This window comes from Homo sapiens, chromosome X, assembly GCF_000001405.40.
Source record: "Homo sapiens chromosome X, GRCh38.p14 Primary Assembly".
Taxonomy (NCBI): Eukaryota; Metazoa; Chordata; class Mammalia; order Primates; family Hominidae; genus Homo; species Homo sapiens.
In genome coordinates, this window is record NC_000023.11 from 49,579,735 (window position 1) to 49,598,575 (window position 18,841).

Genomic DNA, 18,841 nt, shown 5'->3' on the forward strand with positions numbered 1-18,841 from the left:
GGGTGGGGTTCAGTTGAAGATGGGGTGAGTTTTGAGGGGAGCACTACTTGAGTCCCAGAGGCATAGGAAACAGCAGAGGGAGGTGGGATTCCCTTATCCTCAATGAGGATGGGCATGGAGGGTTTGGGGCGTGGCGCTGGGAACGGCAGCCCTCCCCAGCCCACAGCCGCGCATGCTCCCTGGGCTCCCGCCTCAGTGCGCATGTTCACTGGGCGTCTTCTGCCCGGCCCCTTCGCCCACGTGAAGAACGCCAGGGAGCTGTGAGGCAGTGCTGTGTGGTTCCTGCCGTCCGGACTCTTTTTCCTCTACTGAGATTCATCTGGTAGGTGTGCAGGCCAGTCATCCCGGGGGCTGAAGTGTGAGTGAGGGTGGAGAGGGCCTCGGGTGGGTCAGGCGGGTCCCGCTTCCTGGTCTGTGGCCTCCGAGGGAGAAGGGCCACGAGGTCGTCCTCCTTCCCTTCACAGGCTGCGAGGCCACCGGCGGCTTCGTGGTCGTGAAGGGGCCTGGACGGGGAGGAAGGTGGGCCGTGGAGGGGAGGCGGTCAGGGGCTCAGGTGAAGACGGGGTGAGTGCTGTTGGGGGGATGGAAGTCCCGAGGTGCCGGGATCCCCGACGACACAGGGCAGATTCCCTGAATGGGGCCCCCGGCGGGGGCGAGGCGGGCGGTGAAGAAGGGGCCTGGCACCTGGGAAGGCTGCGGCCTGGCGAGCGCCCCCTCAGCGGTGTGGAGTGCGGAGCGCCCGAGTGAGAAGCACTGCAAGGTCTCACCTCCGCCATGGAAGGTCCGAAAACAGTGGGAAGGAGTGGGCGAGGCAGTGCGGTCCAACCAAACTTGTTGTGAGTGGGGGTGAATGGCTCTAGGAAGTGGGAGTGTGCCCAAAGCAGCAATCACGAGAATTGTGATTCACTAGGGTTTTCGTGGGGAGTGCACTTGTGAAACTAAACCTCATCAGAAATGACCTCTGTCTGCGGGGCGCAGTGGCGCTCGCCTACGTATTCCCAGTTACTGGGGACACTGAGGTGGGAGGATCCCTTGAGCGGGAGGTCGAGGCTGCAGTGAGCTGTGATCACGCCGCTGCACTCCAGCCTGAGCAACACAGCGAGACCGCGTGTCCAAAAGAAATTTAGAAAAAAATGTCCTCTGCCTTTTGCCACACGCCTTAAGATGATTGCTCTGCCAGCCTGGCCAGCAGAAGTGGCTTTGTAGGCACTCAGACAGCGTACACACGTATGCTTAACTCTGGGACTTATTTTGAGAGTATTTTCAAAAGTAAAACGGCAAGTTAACATTTATCCATGGAAGTGATCGAATATAGCAGCCCTCTGGAGCGCACGTTCCCAATCACGGTTGTCTGTTTTCAGTGTGAAATATGAGTTGGCGAGGAAGATCGACCTATTATTGGCCTAGACCAAGGCGCTATGTACAGCCTCCTGAAATGATTGGGCCTATGCGGGTGAGTGCTTAAACGTTAATTCGATGTTTTCTATTAGTAGAAATTAATTTTTGTGATAGCGTCGTTGCATTAGTGTGGAAATGCTGATAAAGGTCTTTCCTGCTCATAAAAAATGAGGATGGCATCTCATGAAGGAAACATTGATTCTGGAGGATTTTTTTTTTCCTCTCGTGTTCTTCAGCTTTTGCCCATGACTTCTTTCTCCGGCTTTGTTTGTTAATGACAGATTGTACACATGTATTCCAACACAGAGTATAATAGCCCCCAAAGTCCTCGTGCGTCACTTTTCTCACAGTAACCTCCCTGTGGGTGGAGTAACCTTATTGGGCATAGAGCATAGAGTTGGAGAAATGTCTTTAGGCTTAGTTAGGACCAGAAATAGCTATGTATTCTGTGTATATATGTAAAATTTTGTATCAATAACGAAACTTATTTTTTATTTGCACACCCACACGTATTCCCCAGCCCGAGCAGTTCAGTGATGAAGTGGAACCAGCAACACCTGAAGAAGGGGAACCAGCAACTCAATGTCAGGATCCTGCAGCTGCTCAGAAGGGAGAGGATGAGGGAGCATCTGCAGGTCAAGGTGAGGGAAAGGGAAGAAGAACGTCTGCTGGTGTGTGCGTGTGTGTGTGTTCGTGTGTGTGTGTGCACGTGTGTGTGTGTTAGGCATTGTCACATAGGAGGAAGAGGAGGAAAGAAAACAATGGAAAGAATGCCTGAAATTGACTGGAAAAGCGAGGAGGCTATGTAGTTTGCAGCTTAGCTTAGGCAAATCCCTCACTATGATAAAAGTTCTCGACTTTATGAATGAGAGAATGGAGGTGCCAGGGTTGTGTGTTATCCAAGAACCCTTGACTGGTGAATACAACATTTGTACTGTGTTCTAAGGTTTGTGTCTTCCTATCATGTATGTTGCTGGAAAGAAGGAAGTGATTTTGCTGAAAATGCTTAAAACTCAAAAGGCTTTACTGTAAGGTAGCTTAGTACTGACCCAAGAATAGACCCAGTTCAGAGGAGCAGGAGCAGCTCCAAAAACCGAGTCGCTGAATGTTGGCCCCCGTTTCCTTTGATTGATATTTTTATATGGTACGTTTGATAAAAGCTGGATAAATGAGGATACTGCCATACAGGTAGCTGGTTTAGTGATTTTTCTCAGCGGCCTTTAGGAGGTGATTAAATCCTTTTATGGTTAGAAAAGCAAAAACGGAATTATCCTGAGATTAACGTGAGATGGAAATAATTTCTCCGAGATAAAATGTTTTGAAAGGAAGCATTTATGTAACGGAGGTCATGGATTATTCCAGGGATGCACTGTTAAAAGTTCCTAGAATCTGACTGACAACAATGCCCATTAATTGCTGTCCGCCCACTCCCTTATTCTCAGTGCGGGGGACAGTATATTTTCTGTGATTCACAAACAATGTTATATTTGGTGCTTTGTTCTTCACGGGGTTCATTTATGGAATATTACCTTTAGGACCTTCGGACCTAAATATAACTTTATTTGAACAAAGTGAAGTTTCTCTTTACCCCAATAGGTAATGGGTGTCGTGACTGTAAGATTTCCATAGTCCTCAAATCCATCCAGCTAATCAATCCTTCAGAAACTGACATTGTAATTGTAACTGAAATCCTACCCACGTGGTAGACTTCAGATTTCTCAGCTGACGCACACTGCTGTTGGTACTCTAGGGCTGAATATAAGCATTATACATGTCCTGTGGTTTATCCTTAGATTGTCATTTAGGAGAAAGGTCTAAAGCTGGGCTGAATGCCATGCACTCATAGTCCCAGCTACTTGGGAGGCCGAGGTGAGAGGATTGCTTGAGTCCTGGAGTTCAAGCCCAGCCTGGGAAACACAGTGAGACCTCATTGCTAATAAATAAATAAATGAATAAATAAATAAACACATAAATAAATTCATTAAATAAATAAAGTTTTCATGGTATAGGAAAACACAGATGCAAAGTTTTTGTGCCTAGTGGCTGGTAATGTTGCAAACGTAACTCCTTAGTGAACTGTACCACTTAAAAATAGTTAAGATGGTAAATTTTAGGATATCTGTATTTTTTACCACAATTGGAAATTCCTTTCTTCCTAAAGTTCAGTGCAGTTATCATATATTCTTTTAAATTTTTACTGTATGTATCTTCAAGACATAACATTCATAGAAAATTTGCAAGAATAGTACAATGAACTCATATACTGTTCATCTGGATTCACCAATTGTTAGTAGCTTTCGCTTCATAGGTTTCACATCTCTTCCCTCCGTCTCTTACCGTGCTGCCCACACACTCACACACACACACACACACACACATACGGATATATGTTTACTGTTATTAATGGTGAATTGTCTCGATAAAGTTTCAGGGATTATGGTCCTTTACCCTATGTACTTGAGGGTGTGTATATCGTCAGAACAAAGAGAAAGTCATTTCTTGGATCATCACTGCACAAAGATAAAAATCAGGAAATTTAACAATGAGAAAATGGAGTCATTTAATACAGAGTGCATACTCAAATTTTGCCAGTTCCCCAGAAAATTTCTTTTTTCCTTTTTTTTTTCTTTGTTGAGACGGAGTCTCTCTCTGTGGGCCAGGTGGGAGTGCAGTAGTGCGATCTCGGCTCACTGCAACCTACACCTCCCAGGTTCTAGGGATTCTCATGCCTCAGCCTCCCGTGTAGCTGGGACTACAGGCGCCGGCCACTGCGGTCTTGAACTTCTGGCCTCACCTGCTCTGCCCACCTTGGCATCCCAAAATGTTTGGATTGCAGGCGTGAGACCCCACGCCCGGCCCAGATAATTTTATTGATAGGATTTCTTTTTCTGATCCAGAGTCCAGTTCAGAATCACACCTTGCATGTGCTTTTCAGGTGTTTTTAGTTTCCTTTAACCTGTAATGTTTCCTTAATTTTTCTTGTCATTCACGATACGGACATTTTTGGAGAGGATAGACCAGTTGGTTTGCAGAATATTCTGCAGTTTGGGCTTTTTCATGTATTTTTAAAAGAGTTTTCTCACTCAGCGTTTATTGGTGGCTACTCATGCCATGTAAGAGTCTAAGCGCTAGGAGTGTAAGTGCTGTGAGAGACGGGATTTGAGCCTTGAGTCATTTAATACGAGAAGGACAATCAGAAGTAGAATAAGAGAGAAGTGCAAAGGAGGCAGCAAAGTTGTCTGAGGGCAGTCTTCGGAAAGGAAGAGGGTATTATTTGGAACACCTTGTTTTCCTGTTTTCTGCTAATGGACTCCTGAAATAATGTTCCTGGGATTCTTATCAACACATTTATTATTACGTTAGCTAAAGCTTTTATATAATAATACCGAGAGCATGAATATTATTTTCTTATTCATACTTTATGTTTTACTGCTTAAATTGATACGTATTTTTTATTTTTAAGGGCCGAAGCCTGAAGCTCATAGCCAGGAACAGGGTCACCCACAGACTGGGTGTGAGTGTGAAGATGGTCCTGATGGGCAGGAGATGGACCCGCCAAATCCAGAGGAGGTGAAAACGCCTGAAGAAGGTAGGCAATCCATTAGGCATGCACATTGTAGGGTGTCTGTTTCCACAGTATCATATTGTAATTGTTACTATGTTTTTGAGACGGAGTCTCGCTCTGAAGACCAGGCTGGAGTGCAGTGGTGCCATTTCGGCTCACTGGAAATTCTGTCTCCAGGGTTCAAGTGATTCTCCTGCCTGAGCCTCTGGCGGAGCCGGGCTTACAGGCATGCTCCGCCGCGCCCAGCTAATTGTTGTATTTTTAGTAGAGACAGGGTTTCGTTATGTTGCACAGGTTGTTCCCGAACTCCTGACCTCAGGTGATCCACCTGCCTCGACCATTGAAATTGCCGGGATTACAGGCGAGAGCCACCGTGCCCGACCCAGCATTATATTTTTAATAACGGAGAGGTAACAATACTGCCTCTTTAGTAACAGAGTTCTTATATAAAGGTTATTTGAAACGTAGTTCAGGCCCCAGCACCCGACTGATAGACTGTCAGGTAGGGAAACAAACTGAGTCAAAGCTATGTTGAATTAAAAGTTTTGAGTGTAAATCCTTAAACCAGTAGCTCACAATTTTCAGATGCTTTTGTAAAGGTCTGCTTTTAATCAATACATAACACGTTTGTAACACCCATCACTTGGTGTGAAAAATGCTGAAGCACTCATGCGGGTTCTAATACCAGCTCTTACAGCCTTGGCGAGATTCTGAGTGAGTCCTTTCCCTTCTAAACCTATCTTTGGTTCTTATGAAAATAGTGAGTTTAAGTCAGAGATTTTAAAACCATTTTGCATTCCGTTTCTTTCATACTCTGATCCTGTTGCATAGAATGCGTGGGACACAGAGATCATCTGCTTCGCATGGTTTGTTAATCACAAATCATGAAACCCTGGCCCGAGTCATCTGAAAATCTCTGAATTGAGATTTCATTGTCAGTAAGACAGTGAGCCGGCCCTCTGCTTCATCCTAGTTTTTCCGTGTGGAGAGCTGAATACGTAGTGTAAGATCTTGTGAAATTGTGAATTCTCCCTCTTCTTGGTTTGTTTGTTTGTTTGCGACAGAGTCTCAGTGTGTCACCCAGGCTGGAGTGCAGTGATGCAATTTCAGCTCACTGCAACTTCTGGCTCCCAGGCTAAAGCCGTCCTCCCACCTCAGCCTCCCGAGTGGCTGGAACTACATGCACAAGCCACCGTGCCTGACTACATTTTTTTGTTTTCATTTTTGTAGAGATGAGGTCTCACTGTGTTGCCCAGGCAGGGTTTCTCTGGCTTTTAATGAACAATTGCTTCTTTTTTTTTCTTTTATTTATTTATTTATTTATTTATTATTTATTTATCATTATACTTTAAGTTTTAGGGTACATGTGCACGTTGTGCAGGTTAGTTACATATGTATACATGTGCCATGCTGGTGCGCTGCACCCACTATCTCATCATCTAGCATTAGGTACATCTCCCAGTGCTATCCCTCCCCCCTCCCCCCACCCGACAACAGTCCCCAGGGTGTGATATTCCCCTTCCTCTGTCCATGTGATCTCATTGTTCAGTTCCCACCTATGAGTGAGAATATGCGGTGTTTGGTTTTTTGTTCTTGCAATAGTTTACTGAGAATGATGATTTCCAGTTTCATCCATGTCCCTACAAAGGACATGAACTCATCATTTTTTAGGGCTGCATAGTATTCCATGGTGTATATGTGCCACATTTTCTTAATCCAGTCTATCGTTGTTGGACATTTGGGTTGGTTCCAAGTCTTTGCTATCGTGAATAATGCCGCAATAAACATACGTGTGCATGTGTCTTTATAGCAGCATGATTTATAGTCCTTTGGGTATATACCCAGTAATGGGATGGCTGGGTCAAATGGTACAATTGCTTCTTAAAACTTTCCCCACGGAAACCTTGAGTGACTGAAATAAATATCAAATGGCGAGAGACCGTTTAGTTCGTATCATCTGTGGCATGTAGGTCAGTGATGCTCAGCATGGGTGTGAGTAAGATGCCTGTGCTATGCATGCTCCCTGCCCCACTGTCAGTCTTCATGAGCCACTATTTCTAATAAGACTGTAGACACACATACGATATAATCATCTCTAATCATATCAAATGTTACATGTAAGTTTCACCTTTAGAGACATGAATTGATAAGATTTGAAGTTGAAAGACCATGACTCTAGTACTTCCTGAGTAATCAACTGAAGTATGCTTTACGCATGTGTTTTCCAAATTGCTGACTGTTAATTGTAAGTGCTTGTGACTTGAAAGGAAGCACTTGATGTTCAGGGAGGAAATTCCTTTTAAATTCTGCAGGTCTACGCTCAAAGTTAATGCAGAGGTTCAATTGCGTGTAAGACACGGGATCTCCCATAGGGTTCTGTTTTTAGTCCATTTAATAAAACCCAAACTGTAGTGTGCTTTGTATGCCTTTAGGGTCATCTGAATAATCTGTTGCTAAGTCATGTTCCCAATCGTTGTGTTTCTGTTACAGGTGAAAAGCAATCACAGTGTTAAAAGAAGACACGTTGAAATGATGCAGGCTGCTCCTATGTTGGAAATTTGTTCATTAAAATTCTCCCAATAAAGCTTTACAGCCTTCTGCAAAGAAGTCTTGCGCATCTTTTGTGAAGTTTATTTCTAGCTTTTTGATGCTGTGAAATATGTATCATTCTTTGAAATCGTGTATTGTAACTCTCTGAGCTGGTATGTAGAGACATCGTTCTTTTTTTTTCTTTTTTTCTTTGTCCTCTTTTGAGACGGAGTCTTGCTCTGTCGCCCAGGCTGGAGTGCAGTGGCGCGATCTCTGCTCACTGCAACCCCGCCTCCCGGATTCAAGCAATTGTCTGCCTCAGCCTCCCGAGTAGCTGGGATTATAGGCACCCACCAGCACGCCTGGCTAAGTTTTGTGTTTTTACTAGAGATGGGCTTTCGCCATCTTGGCCGGGGTGCTCTTGAACTCCTGACCTCGTGATTCACCTGCCTTGGCCTCCCAAAGTGCTGGGATTACAGGCATGAGCCTCCGTGCCCGGTGGAGACATAATTCTTACATATTGGTTTTCTATCCAGCGGCCTTGTGAAATATGCTTGTGAATTCTAAAGTTTACTTCTAGGTCGTTTTCAGTCTTCAATATACAGAAACATATCATCCTGGAATAAGAGCAGTTTTGTTTCCGCCATATTTTTTTCTTTTCCCTTTTGTATTTTTTTGTAGAGACGGGGTTTTGCCATGTTTCCCGGGCTGTTGTTGAACTTTTGAGTGCAAGTGATGCACCCACCTCACCTCCCACAGTGCTGGGATTACTGGCGTGGGCCACCGTGGCGGGCCCGTCGTTGGCATTGTAAAGAGTTTTATTTCCTTTTCTGATTTTATGGCATTGTGCAGACCCACCCGTTACAATGGTGACAGTGGACATCCTTGTCTTCTCCCTGATGAGAAACCGAAAAATTTCAACATTTCGCCATCCTATTCACTCTCCTTTTTTTGTAGACGGACTTTATCAGAGTGAGTCATTGCATTCTGTTCCAAATTTGCTGAGAGTATTCATTTGAATATATGTTGATTTTCATCAAACAGTGCATCTATTTCGATTACCACAGCGTTTTTTCCCATTCATGTGTTAATATAGTGAATTCGATTGATAAATTTGTACGTTTTTAGGTTCGATTATTAAAACTTGAGACAGCGTCTCACTCTGTCACCGAGGCTGGAGTGCGGTGGTGTTATCAGAGCTCGCTGCAGCCTTGACCTCCTGGGCTCAAGCGCGCCTCCCACCTCAGCCTCCTGAGGAGCTGTGAGTATAGGTACATGCCACCATGCCCAGCTAATTTTTCGATGGTTTTTTGTTTGTTTTTTGTAGTGATGAGATTTTCTGATGTTGCTTAGGCTGGTCTCGAAGTCCTGAGCTCAGGTGATCTGGCCAGCTCAGCCTCCCAAAATACTAGGATTACAGGCGTGAGCCTTGGCCTGGTCTGGTTTTTCTTATATAGGGGTCTTATCTATATAAAGACTAAAGTTAATCTGTGCCTTTGTGCGGGTGGGCTAAGAGCATGATGACTTTTATCATTCTATTGATTTAAAGAAAACTGTCCTTGACTTACCAGTGTGTAAGTCCATGAAAGCATAATTCTGTTGAAAGCATATATTGTTAATGGGTGTTGGGAACCGTGCACTTTCCGCTGCTGTGGGAGCATGTCCTTGGAGGTACCTTTCATCTGTTTTCTCAACTCCAAACATCTTAGGACCATGGGTTGTGACTGGTAGGACTATGTATCTTGCTGCTTTCAAGACGGAGTATATTTTCACGTGGTGTCACTCTGGCTGTCCTGTTTCCCTAATACTGTCACTTCACCCTCTGCGATTCTGATGCTACAAATGATAGATATCGTTTTAGCATTTTCTTACGGGTCCTAGCGATTCTATTCATTTTTCTTTCAGTCTCTTTCTCTGACTTGTTCACATTGAACAATTTCCTTTTGGGATAGGTTGCTATTTCTGTTTTCGCAGGTGGTTTACCTGTCTTCCCAGCCAGTCACAGTGGTCCTTGTCCCCATGGTGGGTCCGGGGCAAGAGAGGGCCCTGGGTTGGGGGTGGGGTTCAGTTGAAGATGGGGTGAGTTTTGAGGGGAGCACTACTTGAGTCCCAGAGGCATAGGAAACAGCAGAGGGAGGTGGGATTCCCTTATCCTCAATGAGGATGGGCATGGAGGGTTTGGGGCGTGGCGCTGGGAACGGCAGCCCTCCCCAGCCCACAGCCGCGCATGCTCCCTGGGCTCCCGCCTCAGTGCGCATGTTCACTGGGCGTCTTCTGCCCGGCCCCTTCGCCCACGTGAAGAACGCCAGGGAGCTGTGAGGCAGTGCTGTGTGGTTCCTGCCGTCCGGACTCTTTTTCCTCTACTGAGATTCATCTGGTAGGTGTGCAGGCCAGTCATCCCGGGGGCTGAAGTGTGAGTGAGGGTGGAGAGGGCCTCGGGTGGGTCAGGCGGGTCCCGCTTCCTGGTCTGTGGCCTCCGAGGGAGAAGGGCCACGAGGTCGTCCTCCTTCCCTTCACAGGCTGCGAGGCCACCGGCGGCTTCGTGGTCGTGAAGGGGCCTGGACGGGGAGGAAGGTGGGCCGTGGAGGGGAGGCGGTCAGGGGCTCAGGTGAAGACGGGGTGAGTGCTGTTGGGGGGATGGAAGTCCCGAGGTGCCGGGATCCCCGACGACACAGGGCAGATTCCCTGAATGGGGCCCCCGGCGGGGGCGAGGCAGGCGGTGAAGAAGGGGCCTGGCACCTGGGAAGGCTGGGGCCTGGCGAGCCCCCCCCCAGCGGTGTGGAGTGCGGAGCGCCCGAGTGAGAAGCACTGCAAGGTCTCACCTCCGCCATGGAAGGTCCGAAAACAGTGGGAAGGAGTGGGCGAGGCAGTGCGGTCCAACCAAACTTGTTGTGAGGGGGGGTGAATGGCTCTAGGAAGTGGGAGTGTGCCCAAAGCAGCAATCACGAGAATTGTGATTCACTAGGGTTTTCGTGGGGAGTGCACTTGTGAAACTAAACCTCATCAGAAATGACCTCTGTCTGCGGGGCGCAGTGGCGCTCGCCTACGTAGTCCCAGTTACTGGGGACACTGAGGTGGGAGGATCCCTTGAGCGGGAGGTCGAGGCTGCAGTGAGCTGTGATCACGCCGCTGCACTCCAGCCTGAGCAACACAGCGAGACCGCGTGTCCAAAAGAAATTTAGAAAAAAATGTCCTCTGCCTTTTGCCACACGCCTTAAGATGATTGCTCTGCCAGCCTGGCCAGCAGAAGTGGCTTTGTAGGCACTCAGACAGCGTACACACGTATGCTTAACTCTGGGACTTATCTTGAGAGTATTTTCAAAAGTAAAACGGCAAGTTTACATTTATCGATGGAAGTGATCGAATATAGCAGCCCTGTGGAGCGCACGTTCCCAATCACGGTTGTCTGTTTTCAGTGTGAAATATGAGTTGGCGAGGAAGATCGACCTATCGGCCTAGACCAAGACGCTACGTAGAGCCTCCTGAAATGATTGGGCCTATGCGGGTGAGTGCTTAAACGTTAATTCGATGTTTTCTATTAGTAGAAATTAATTTTTGTGATAGCGTTGTTGCATTAGTGTGGAAATGCTGATAAAGGTCTTTCCTGCTCATAAAAAATGAGGATGGCATCTCATGAAGGAAACATTGATTCTGGAGGATTTTTTTTTTCCTCTCGTGTTCTTCAGCTTTTGCCCATGACTTCTTTCTCCGGCTTTGTTTGTTAATGACAGATTGTACACATGTATTCCAACACAGAGTATAATAGCCTCCAAAGTCCTCGTGCGTCACTTTTCTCACAGTATCCTCCCTGTGGGTGGAGTAACCTTATTGGGCATAGAGCATAGAGTTGGAGAAATGTCTTTAGGCTTAGTTAGGACCAGAAATAGCTATGTATTCTGTGTATATATGTAAAATTTTGTATCAATAACGAAACTTATTTTTTATTTGCACACCCACACGTATTCCCCAGCCCGAGCAGTTCAGTGATGAAGTGGAACCAGCAACACCTGAAGAAGGGGAACCAGCAACTCAACGTCAGGATCCTGCAGCTGCTCAGGAGGGACAGGATGAGGGAGCATCTGCAGGTCAAGGTGAGGGAAAGGGAAGAAGAACGTCTGCTGGTGTGTGCGTGTGTGTGTGTTCGTGTGTGTGTGTGTGCACGTGTGTGTGTGTGTGTGTTAGGCATTGTCACATAGGAGGAAGAGGAGGAAAGAAAACAATGGAAAGAATGCCTGAAATTGAGTGGAAAAGCGAGGAGGCTATGTAGTTTGCAGCTTAGCTTAGGCAAATCCCTCACTATGATAAAAGTTCTCGACTTTATGAATGAGAGAATGGAGGTGCCAGGGTTGTGTGTTATCCAAGAACCCTTGACTGGTGAATACAACATTTGTACTGTGTTCCAAGGTTTGTGTCTTCCTATCATGTATGTTGCTGTAAAGAAGGAAGTGATTTTGCTGAAAATGCTTAAAACTCAAAAGGCTTTACTGTAAGGTAGCTTAGGAGCAGGAGCAGCTCCAAAAACCGAGTCGCTGAATGTTGGCCCCCGTTTCCTTTGATTGATATTTTTATATGGTACGTTTGATAAAAGCTGGATAAATGAGGATACTGCCATACAGGTAGCTGGTTTAGTGATTTTTCTCAGCGGCCTTTAGGAGGTGATTAAATCCTTTTATGGTTAGAAAAGCAAAAACGGAATTATCCTGAGATTAACGTGAGATGGAAATAATTTCTCCCAGATAAAATGTTTTGAAAGGAAGCATTTATGTAACGGAGGTCATGGATTATTCCAGGGATGCACTGTTAAAAGTTCCTAGAATCTGACTGACAACAATGCCCATTAATTGCTGTCCGCCCACTCCCTTATTCTCAGTGCGGGGGACAGTATATTTTCTGTGATTCACAAACAATGTTATATTTGGTGCTTTGTTCTTCACGGGGTTCATTTATGGAATATTACCTTTAGGACCTTCGGACCTAAATATAACTTTATTTGAACAAAGTGAAGTTTCTCTTTACCCCAATAGGTAATGGGTGTCGTGACTGTAAGATTTCCATAGTCCTCAAATCCATCCAGCTAATCAATCCTTCAGAAACTGACATTGTAATTGTAACTGAAATCCTACCCACGTGGTAGACTTCAGATTTCTCAGCTGACGCACACTGCTGTTGGTACTCTAGGGCTGAATATAAGCATTATACATGTCCTGTGGTTTATCCTTAGATTGTCATTTAGGAGAAAGGTCTAAAGCTGGGCTGAATGCCATGCACTCATAGTCCCAGCTACTTGGGAGGCCGAGGTGAGAGGATTGCTTGAGTCCTGGAGTTCAAGCCCAGCCTGGGAAACACAGTGAGACCTCATTGCTAATAAATAAATAAATGAATAAATAAATAAACACATAAATAAATTCATTAAATAAATAAAGTTTTCATGGTATAGGAAAACACAGATGCAAAGTTTTTGTGCCTAGTGGCTGGTAATGTTGCAAACGTAACTCCTTAGTGAACTGTACCACTTAAAAATAGTTAAGATGGTAAATTTTAGGATATCTGTATTTTTTACCACAATTGGAAATTCCTTTCTTCCTAAAGTTCAGTGCAGTTATCATATATTCTTTTAAATTTTTACTGTATGTATCTTCAAGACATAACATTCATAGAAAATTTGCAAGAATAGTACAATGAACTCATATACTGTTCATCTGGATTCACCAATTGTTAGTAGCTTTCGCTTCATAGGTTTCACATCTCTTCCCTCCGTCTCTTACCGTGCTGCCCACACACTCACACACACACACACACACACACATACGGATATATGTTTACTGTTATTAATGGTGAATTGTCTCGATAAAGTTTCAGGGATTATGGTCCTTTACCCTATGTACTTGAGGGTGTGTATATCGTCAGAACAAAGAGAAAGTCATTTCTTGGATCATCACTGCACAAAGATAAAAATCAGGAAATTTAACAATGAGAAAATGGAGTCATTTAATACAGAGTGCATACTCAAATTTTGCCAGTTCCCCAGAAAATTTCTTTTTTCCTTTTTTTTTTCTTTGTTGAGACGGAGTCTCTCTCTGTGGGCCAGGTGGGAGTGCAGTAGTGCGATCTCGGCTCACTGCAACCTACACCTCCCAGGTTCTAGGGATTCTCATGCCTCAGCCTCCCGTGTAGCTGGGACTACAGGCGCCGGCCACTGCGGTCTTGAACTTCTGGCCTCACCTGCTCTGCCCACCTTGGCATCCCAAAATGTTTGGATTGCAGGCGTGAGACCCCACGCCCGGCCCAGATAATTTTATTGATAGGATTTCTTTTTCTGATCCAGAGTCCAGTTCAGAATCACACCTTGCATGTGCTTTTCAGGTGTTTTTAGTTTCCTTTAACCTGTAATGTTTCCTTAATTTTTCTTGTCATTCACGATACGGACATTTTTGGAGAGGATAGACCAGTTGGTTTGCAGAATATTCTGCAGTTTGGGCTTTTTCATGTATTTTTAAAAGAGTTTTCTCACTCAGCGTTTATTGGTGGCTACTCATGCCATGTAAGAGTCTAAGCGCTAGGAGTGTAAGTGCTGTGAGAGACGGGATTTGAGCCTTGAGTCATTTAATACGAGAAGGACAATCAGAAGTAGAATAAGAGAGAAGTGCAAAGGAGGCAGCAAAGTTGTCTGAGGGCAGTCTTCGGAAAGGAAGAGGGTATTATTTGGAACACCTTGTTTTCCTGTTTTCTGCTAATGGACTCCTGAAATAATGTTCCTGGGATTCTTATCAACACATTTATTATTACGTTAGCTAAAGCTTTTATATAATAATACCGAGAGCATGAATATTATTTTCTTATTCATACTTTATGTTTTACTGCTTAAATTGATACGTATTTTTTATTTTTAAGGGCCGAAGCCTGAAGCTCATAGCCAGGAACAGGGTCACCCACAGACTGGGTGTGAGTGTGAAGATGGTCCTGATGGGCAGGAGATGGACCCGCCAAATCCAGAGGAGGTGAAAACGCCTGAAGAAGGTAGGCAATCCATTAGGCATGCACATTGTAGGGTGTCTGTTTCCACAGTATCATATTGTAATTGTTACTATGTTTTTGAGACGGAGTCTCGCTCTGAAGACCAGGCTGGAGTGCAGTGGTGCCATTTCGGCTCACTGGAAATTCTGTCTCCAGGGTTCAAGTGATTCTCCTGCCTGAGCCTCTGGCGGAGCCGGGCTTACAGGCATGCTCCGCCGCGCCCAGCTAATTGTTGTATTTTTAGTAGAGACAGGGTTTCGTTATGTTGCACAGGTTGTTCCCGAACTCCTGACCTCAGGTGATCCACCTGCCTCGACCATTGAAATTGCCGGGATTACAGGCGAGAGCCACCGTGCCCGACCCAGCATTATATTTTTAATAACGGAGAGGTAACAATACTGCCTCTTTAGTAACAGAGTTCTTATATAAAGGTTATTTGAAACGTAGTTCAGGCCCCAGCACCCGACTGATAGACTGTCAGGTAGGGAAACAAACTGAGTCAAAGCTATGTTGAATTAAAAGTTTTGAGTGTAAATCCTTAAACCAGTAGCTCACAATTTTCAGATGCTTTTGTAAAGGTCTGCTTTTAATCAATACATAACACGTTTGTAACACCCATCACTTGGTGTGAAAAATGCTGAAGCACTCATGCGGGTTCTAATACCAGCTCTTACAGCCTTGGCGAGATTCTGAGTGAGTCCTTTCCCTTCTAAACCTATCTTTGGTTCTTATGAAAATAGTGAGTTTAAGTCAGAGATTTTAAAACCATTTTGCATTCCGTTTCTTTCATACTCTGATCCTGTTGCATAGAATGCGTGGGACACAGAGATCATCTGCTTCGCATGGTTTGTTAATCACAAATCATGAAACCCTGGCCCGAGTCATCTGAAAATCTCTGAATTGAGATTTCATTGTCAGTAAGACAGTGAGCGGGCCCTCTGCTTCATCCTAGTTTTTCCGTGTGGAGAGCTGAATACGTAGTGTAAGATCTTGTGAAATTGTGAATTCTCCCTCTTCTTGGTTTGTTTGTTTGTTTGCGACAGAGTCTCAGTGTGTCACCCAGGCTGGAGTGCAGTGATGCAATTTCAGCTCACTGCAACTTCTGGCTCCCAGGCTAAAGCCGTCCTCCCACCTCAGCCTCCCGAGTGGCTGGAACTACATGCACAAGCCACCGTGCCTGACTACATTTTTTTGTTTTCATTTTTGTAGAGATGAGGTCTCACTGTGTTGCCCAGGCAGGGTTTCTCTGGCTTTTAATGAACAATTGCTTCTTTTTTTTTCTTTTATTTATTTATTTATTTATTTATTTATTTATTTATCATTATACTTTAAGTTTTAGGGTACATGTGCACGTTGTGCAGGTTAGTTACATATGTATACATGTGCCATGCTGGTGCGCTGCACCCACTATCTTATCATCTAGCATTAGGTACATCTCCCAGTGCTATCCCTCCCCCCTCCCCCCACCCGACAACAGTCCCCAGGGTGTGATATTCCCCTTCCTCTGTCCATGTGATCTCATTGTTCAGTTCCCACCTATGAGTGAGAATATGCGGTGTTTGGTTTTTTGTTCTTGCAATAGTTTACTGAGAATGATGATTTCCAGTTTCATCCATGTCCCTACAAAGGACATGAACTCATCATTTTTTAGGGCTGCATAGTATTCCATGGTGTATATGTGCCACATTTTCTTAATCCAGTCTATCGTTGTTGGACATTTGGGTTGGTTCCAAGTCTTTGCTATCGTGAATAATGCCGCAATAAACATACGTGTGCATGTGTCTTTATAGCAGCATGATTTATAGTCCTTTGGGTATATACCCAGTAATGGGATGGCTGGGTCAAATGGTACAATTGCTTCTTAAATCTTTCCCCACGGAAACCTTGAGTGACTGAAATAAATATCAAATGGCGAGAGACCGTTTAGTTCGTATCATCTGTGGCATGTAGGTCAGTGATGCTCAGCATGGGTGTGAGTAAGATGCCTGTGCTATGCATGCTCCCTGCCCCACTGTCAGTCTTCATGAGCCACTATTTCTAATAAGACTGTAGACACACATACGATATAATCATCTCTAATCATATCAAATGTTACATGTAAGTTTCACCTTTAGAGACATGAATTGATAAGATTTGAAGTTGAAAGACCATGACTCTAGTACTTCCTGAGTAATCAACTGAAGTATGCTTTACACATGTGTTTTCCAAATTGCTGACTGTTAATTGTAAGTGCTTGTGACTTGAAAGGAAGCACTTGATGTTCAGGGAGGAAATTCCTTTTAAATTCTGCAGGTCTACGCTCAAAGTTTATGCAGAGGTTCAATTGCGTGTAAGACACGGGATCACCCATAGGGTTCTGTTTTTAGTCCATTTAATAAAACCCAAACTGTAGTGTGCTTTGTATGCCTTTAGGGTCATCTGAATAATCTGTTGCTAAGTCATGTTCCCAATCGTTGTGTTTCTGTTACAGGTGAAAAGCAATCACAGTGTTAAAAGAAGACACGTTGAAATGATGCAGGCTGCTCCTATGTTGGAAATTTGTTCATTAAAATTCTCCCAATAAAGCTTTACAGCCTTCTGCAAAGAAGTCTTGCGCATCTTTTGTGAAGTTTATTTCTAGCTTTTTGATGCTGTGAAATATGTATCATTCTTTGAAATCGTGTATTGTAACTCTCTGAGCTGGTATGTAGAGACATCGTTCTTTTTTTTTTCTTTCTTTCTTTGTCCTCTTTTGAGACGGAGTCTTGCTCTGTCGCCCAGGCTGGAGTGCAGTGGCGCGATCTCTGCTCACTGCAACCCCGCCTCCCGGATTCAAGCAATTGTCTGCCTCAGCCTCCCGAGTAGCTGGGATTATAGGCACCCACCAGCACGCCTGGCTAAGTTTTGTGTTTTTACTAGAGATGGGCTTTCGCCATCTTGGCCGGGGTGCTCTTGAACTCCTGACCTCGTGATTCACCTGCCTTGGCCTCCCAAAGTGCTGGGATTACAGGCATGAGCCTCCGCGCCCGGTGGAGACATAATTCTTACATATTGGTTTTCTATCCAGCGGCCTTGTGAAATATGCTTGTGAATTCTAAAGTTTACTTCTAGGTCGTTTTCAGTCTTCAATATACAGAAACATATCATCCTGGAATAAGAGCAGTTTTGTTTCCGCCATATTTTTTTCTTTTCCCTTTTGTATTTTTTTGTAGAGACGGGGTTTTGCCATGTTTCCCGGGCTGTTGTTGAACTTTTGAGTGCAAGTGATGCACCCACCTCACCTCCCACAGTGCTGGGATTACTGGCGTGGGCCACCGTGGCGGGCCCGTCGTTGCCATTGTAAAGAGTTTTATTTCCTTTTCTGATTTTATGGCATTGCGCAGACCCACCCGTTACAATGGTGACAGTGGACATCCTTGTCTTATCCCTGATGAGAAACCGAAAAATTTCAACATTTCACCATCCTATTCACTCTCCTTTTTTTGTAGACGGACTTTATCAGAGTGAGTCATTGCATTCTGTTCCAAATTTGCTGAGAGTATTCATTTGAATATATGTTGATTTTCATCAAACAGTGCATCTATTTCGATTACCACAGCGTTTTTTCCCATTCATGTGTTAATATAGTGAATTCGATTGATAAATTTGTACGTTTTTAGGTTCGATTATTAAAACTTGAGACAGCGTCTCACTCTGTCACCGAGGCTGGAGTGCGGTGGTGTTATCAGAGCTCGCTGCAGCCTTGACCTCCTGGGCTCAAGCGCGCCTCCCACCTCAGCCTCCTGAGGAGCTGTGAGTATAGGTACATGCCACCATGCCCAGCTAATTTTTCGATGGTTTTTTGTTTGTTTTTTGTAGTGATGAGATTTTCTGATGTTGCTTAGGCTGGTCTCGAAGTCCTGAGCTCAGGTGATCTGGCCAGCTCAGCCTCCCAAAATACTAGGATTACAGGCGTGAGCCTTGGCCTGGTCTGGTTTTTCTTATATAGGGGTCTTATCTATATAAAGACTAAAGTTAATCTGTGCCTTTGTGCGGGTGGGCTAAGAGCATGATGACTTTTATCATTCTATTGATTTAAAGAAAACTGTCCTTGACTTACCAGTGTGTAAGTCCATGAAAGCATAATTCTGTTGAAAGCATATATTGTTAATGGGTGTTGGGAACCGTGCACTTTCCGCTGCTGTGGGAGCATGTCCTTGGAGGTACCTTTCATCTGTTTTCTCAACTCCAAACATCTTAGGACCATGGGTTGTGACTGGTAGGACTATGTATCTTGCTGCTTTCAAGACGGAGTATATTTTCACGTGGTGTCACTCTGGCTGTCCTGTTTCCCTAATACTGTCACTTCACCCTCTG

The 18,841-nt window shown here is 44.7% G+C and overlaps 2 protein-coding genes across 2 annotated transcripts, besides 1 other annotated feature; both read left to right on the forward strand.

Annotated features, from left to right (window-relative positions):
• Window positions 1-214: 214 nt before the first annotated feature.
• GAGE12H (G antigen 12H) lies at window positions 215-7,567 on the forward strand. Its single transcript, NM_001098410.3, has 5 exons — window positions 215-322; window positions 1,362-1,453; window positions 1,919-2,039; window positions 4,862-4,987; window positions 7,454-7,567. Exons 2-5 carry the CDS (start codon window positions 1,370-1,372, stop codon window positions 7,474-7,476), a joined length of 354 nt encoding a protein of 117 aa, NP_001091880.1. The 5' UTR covers window positions 215-322; window positions 1,362-1,369; the 3' UTR covers window positions 7,477-7,567.
• Window positions 7,568-9,761: 2,194 nt separating this feature from the next.
• Window positions 9,762-17,090, forward strand: GAGE2A (G antigen 2A). Its single transcript, NM_001127212.4, has 5 exons — window positions 9,762-9,869; window positions 10,909-10,997; window positions 11,463-11,583; window positions 14,384-14,509; window positions 16,977-17,090. Exons 2-5 carry the CDS (start codon window positions 10,917-10,919, stop codon window positions 16,997-16,999), a joined length of 351 nt encoding a protein of 116 aa, NP_001120684.1. The 5' UTR covers window positions 9,762-9,869; window positions 10,909-10,916; the 3' UTR covers window positions 17,000-17,090.
• Window positions 9,934-10,655: an enhancer, noted in NCBI's record as "H3K27ac-H3K4me1 hESC enhancer chrX:49354271-49354992 (GRCh37/hg19 assembly coordinates)". NCBI's record gives its function as "activates a minimal SCP1, AML or CMV promoter by ChIP-STARR-seq in primed H9 embryonic stem cells {active_cell/tissue: H9 hESC(primed)}" and the evidence as "EXISTENCE:reporter gene assay evidence [ECO:0000049][PMID:30033119]".
• Window positions 17,091-18,841: the final 1,751 nt, after the last annotated feature.

What these genes read in the sequence shown, in the direction of transcription:
- GAGE12H (NM_001098410.3), top strand. Translation starts at nt 1,370, where the DNA reads ATGAGTTGGCGAGGAAGATCGACCTATTATTGGCCTAGACCAAGGCGC. An exon ending in GGGAGCATCTGCAGGTCAAG is followed by an intron (nt 2,040 to 4,861) that starts GTGAGGGAAAGG and finishes TTTATTTTTAAG; the next exon opens with GGCCGAAGCCTGAAGCTCAT. An exon ending in GGTGAAAACGCCTGAAGAAG is followed by an intron (nt 4,988 to 7,453) that starts GTAGGCAATCCA and finishes TTTCTGTTACAG; the next exon opens with GTGAAAAGCAATCACAGTGT.
- GAGE2A (NM_001127212.4), top strand. Translation starts at nt 10,917, where the DNA reads ATGAGTTGGCGAGGAAGATCGACCTATCGGCCTAGACCAAGACGCTAC. An exon ending in AAATGATTGGGCCTATGCGG is followed by an intron (nt 10,998 to 11,462) that starts GTGAGTGCTTAA and finishes CGTATTCCCCAG; the next exon opens with CCCGAGCAGTTCAGTGATGA. An exon ending in GGTGAAAACGCCTGAAGAAG is followed by an intron (nt 14,510 to 16,976) that starts GTAGGCAATCCA and finishes TTTCTGTTACAG; the next exon opens with GTGAAAAGCAATCACAGTGT.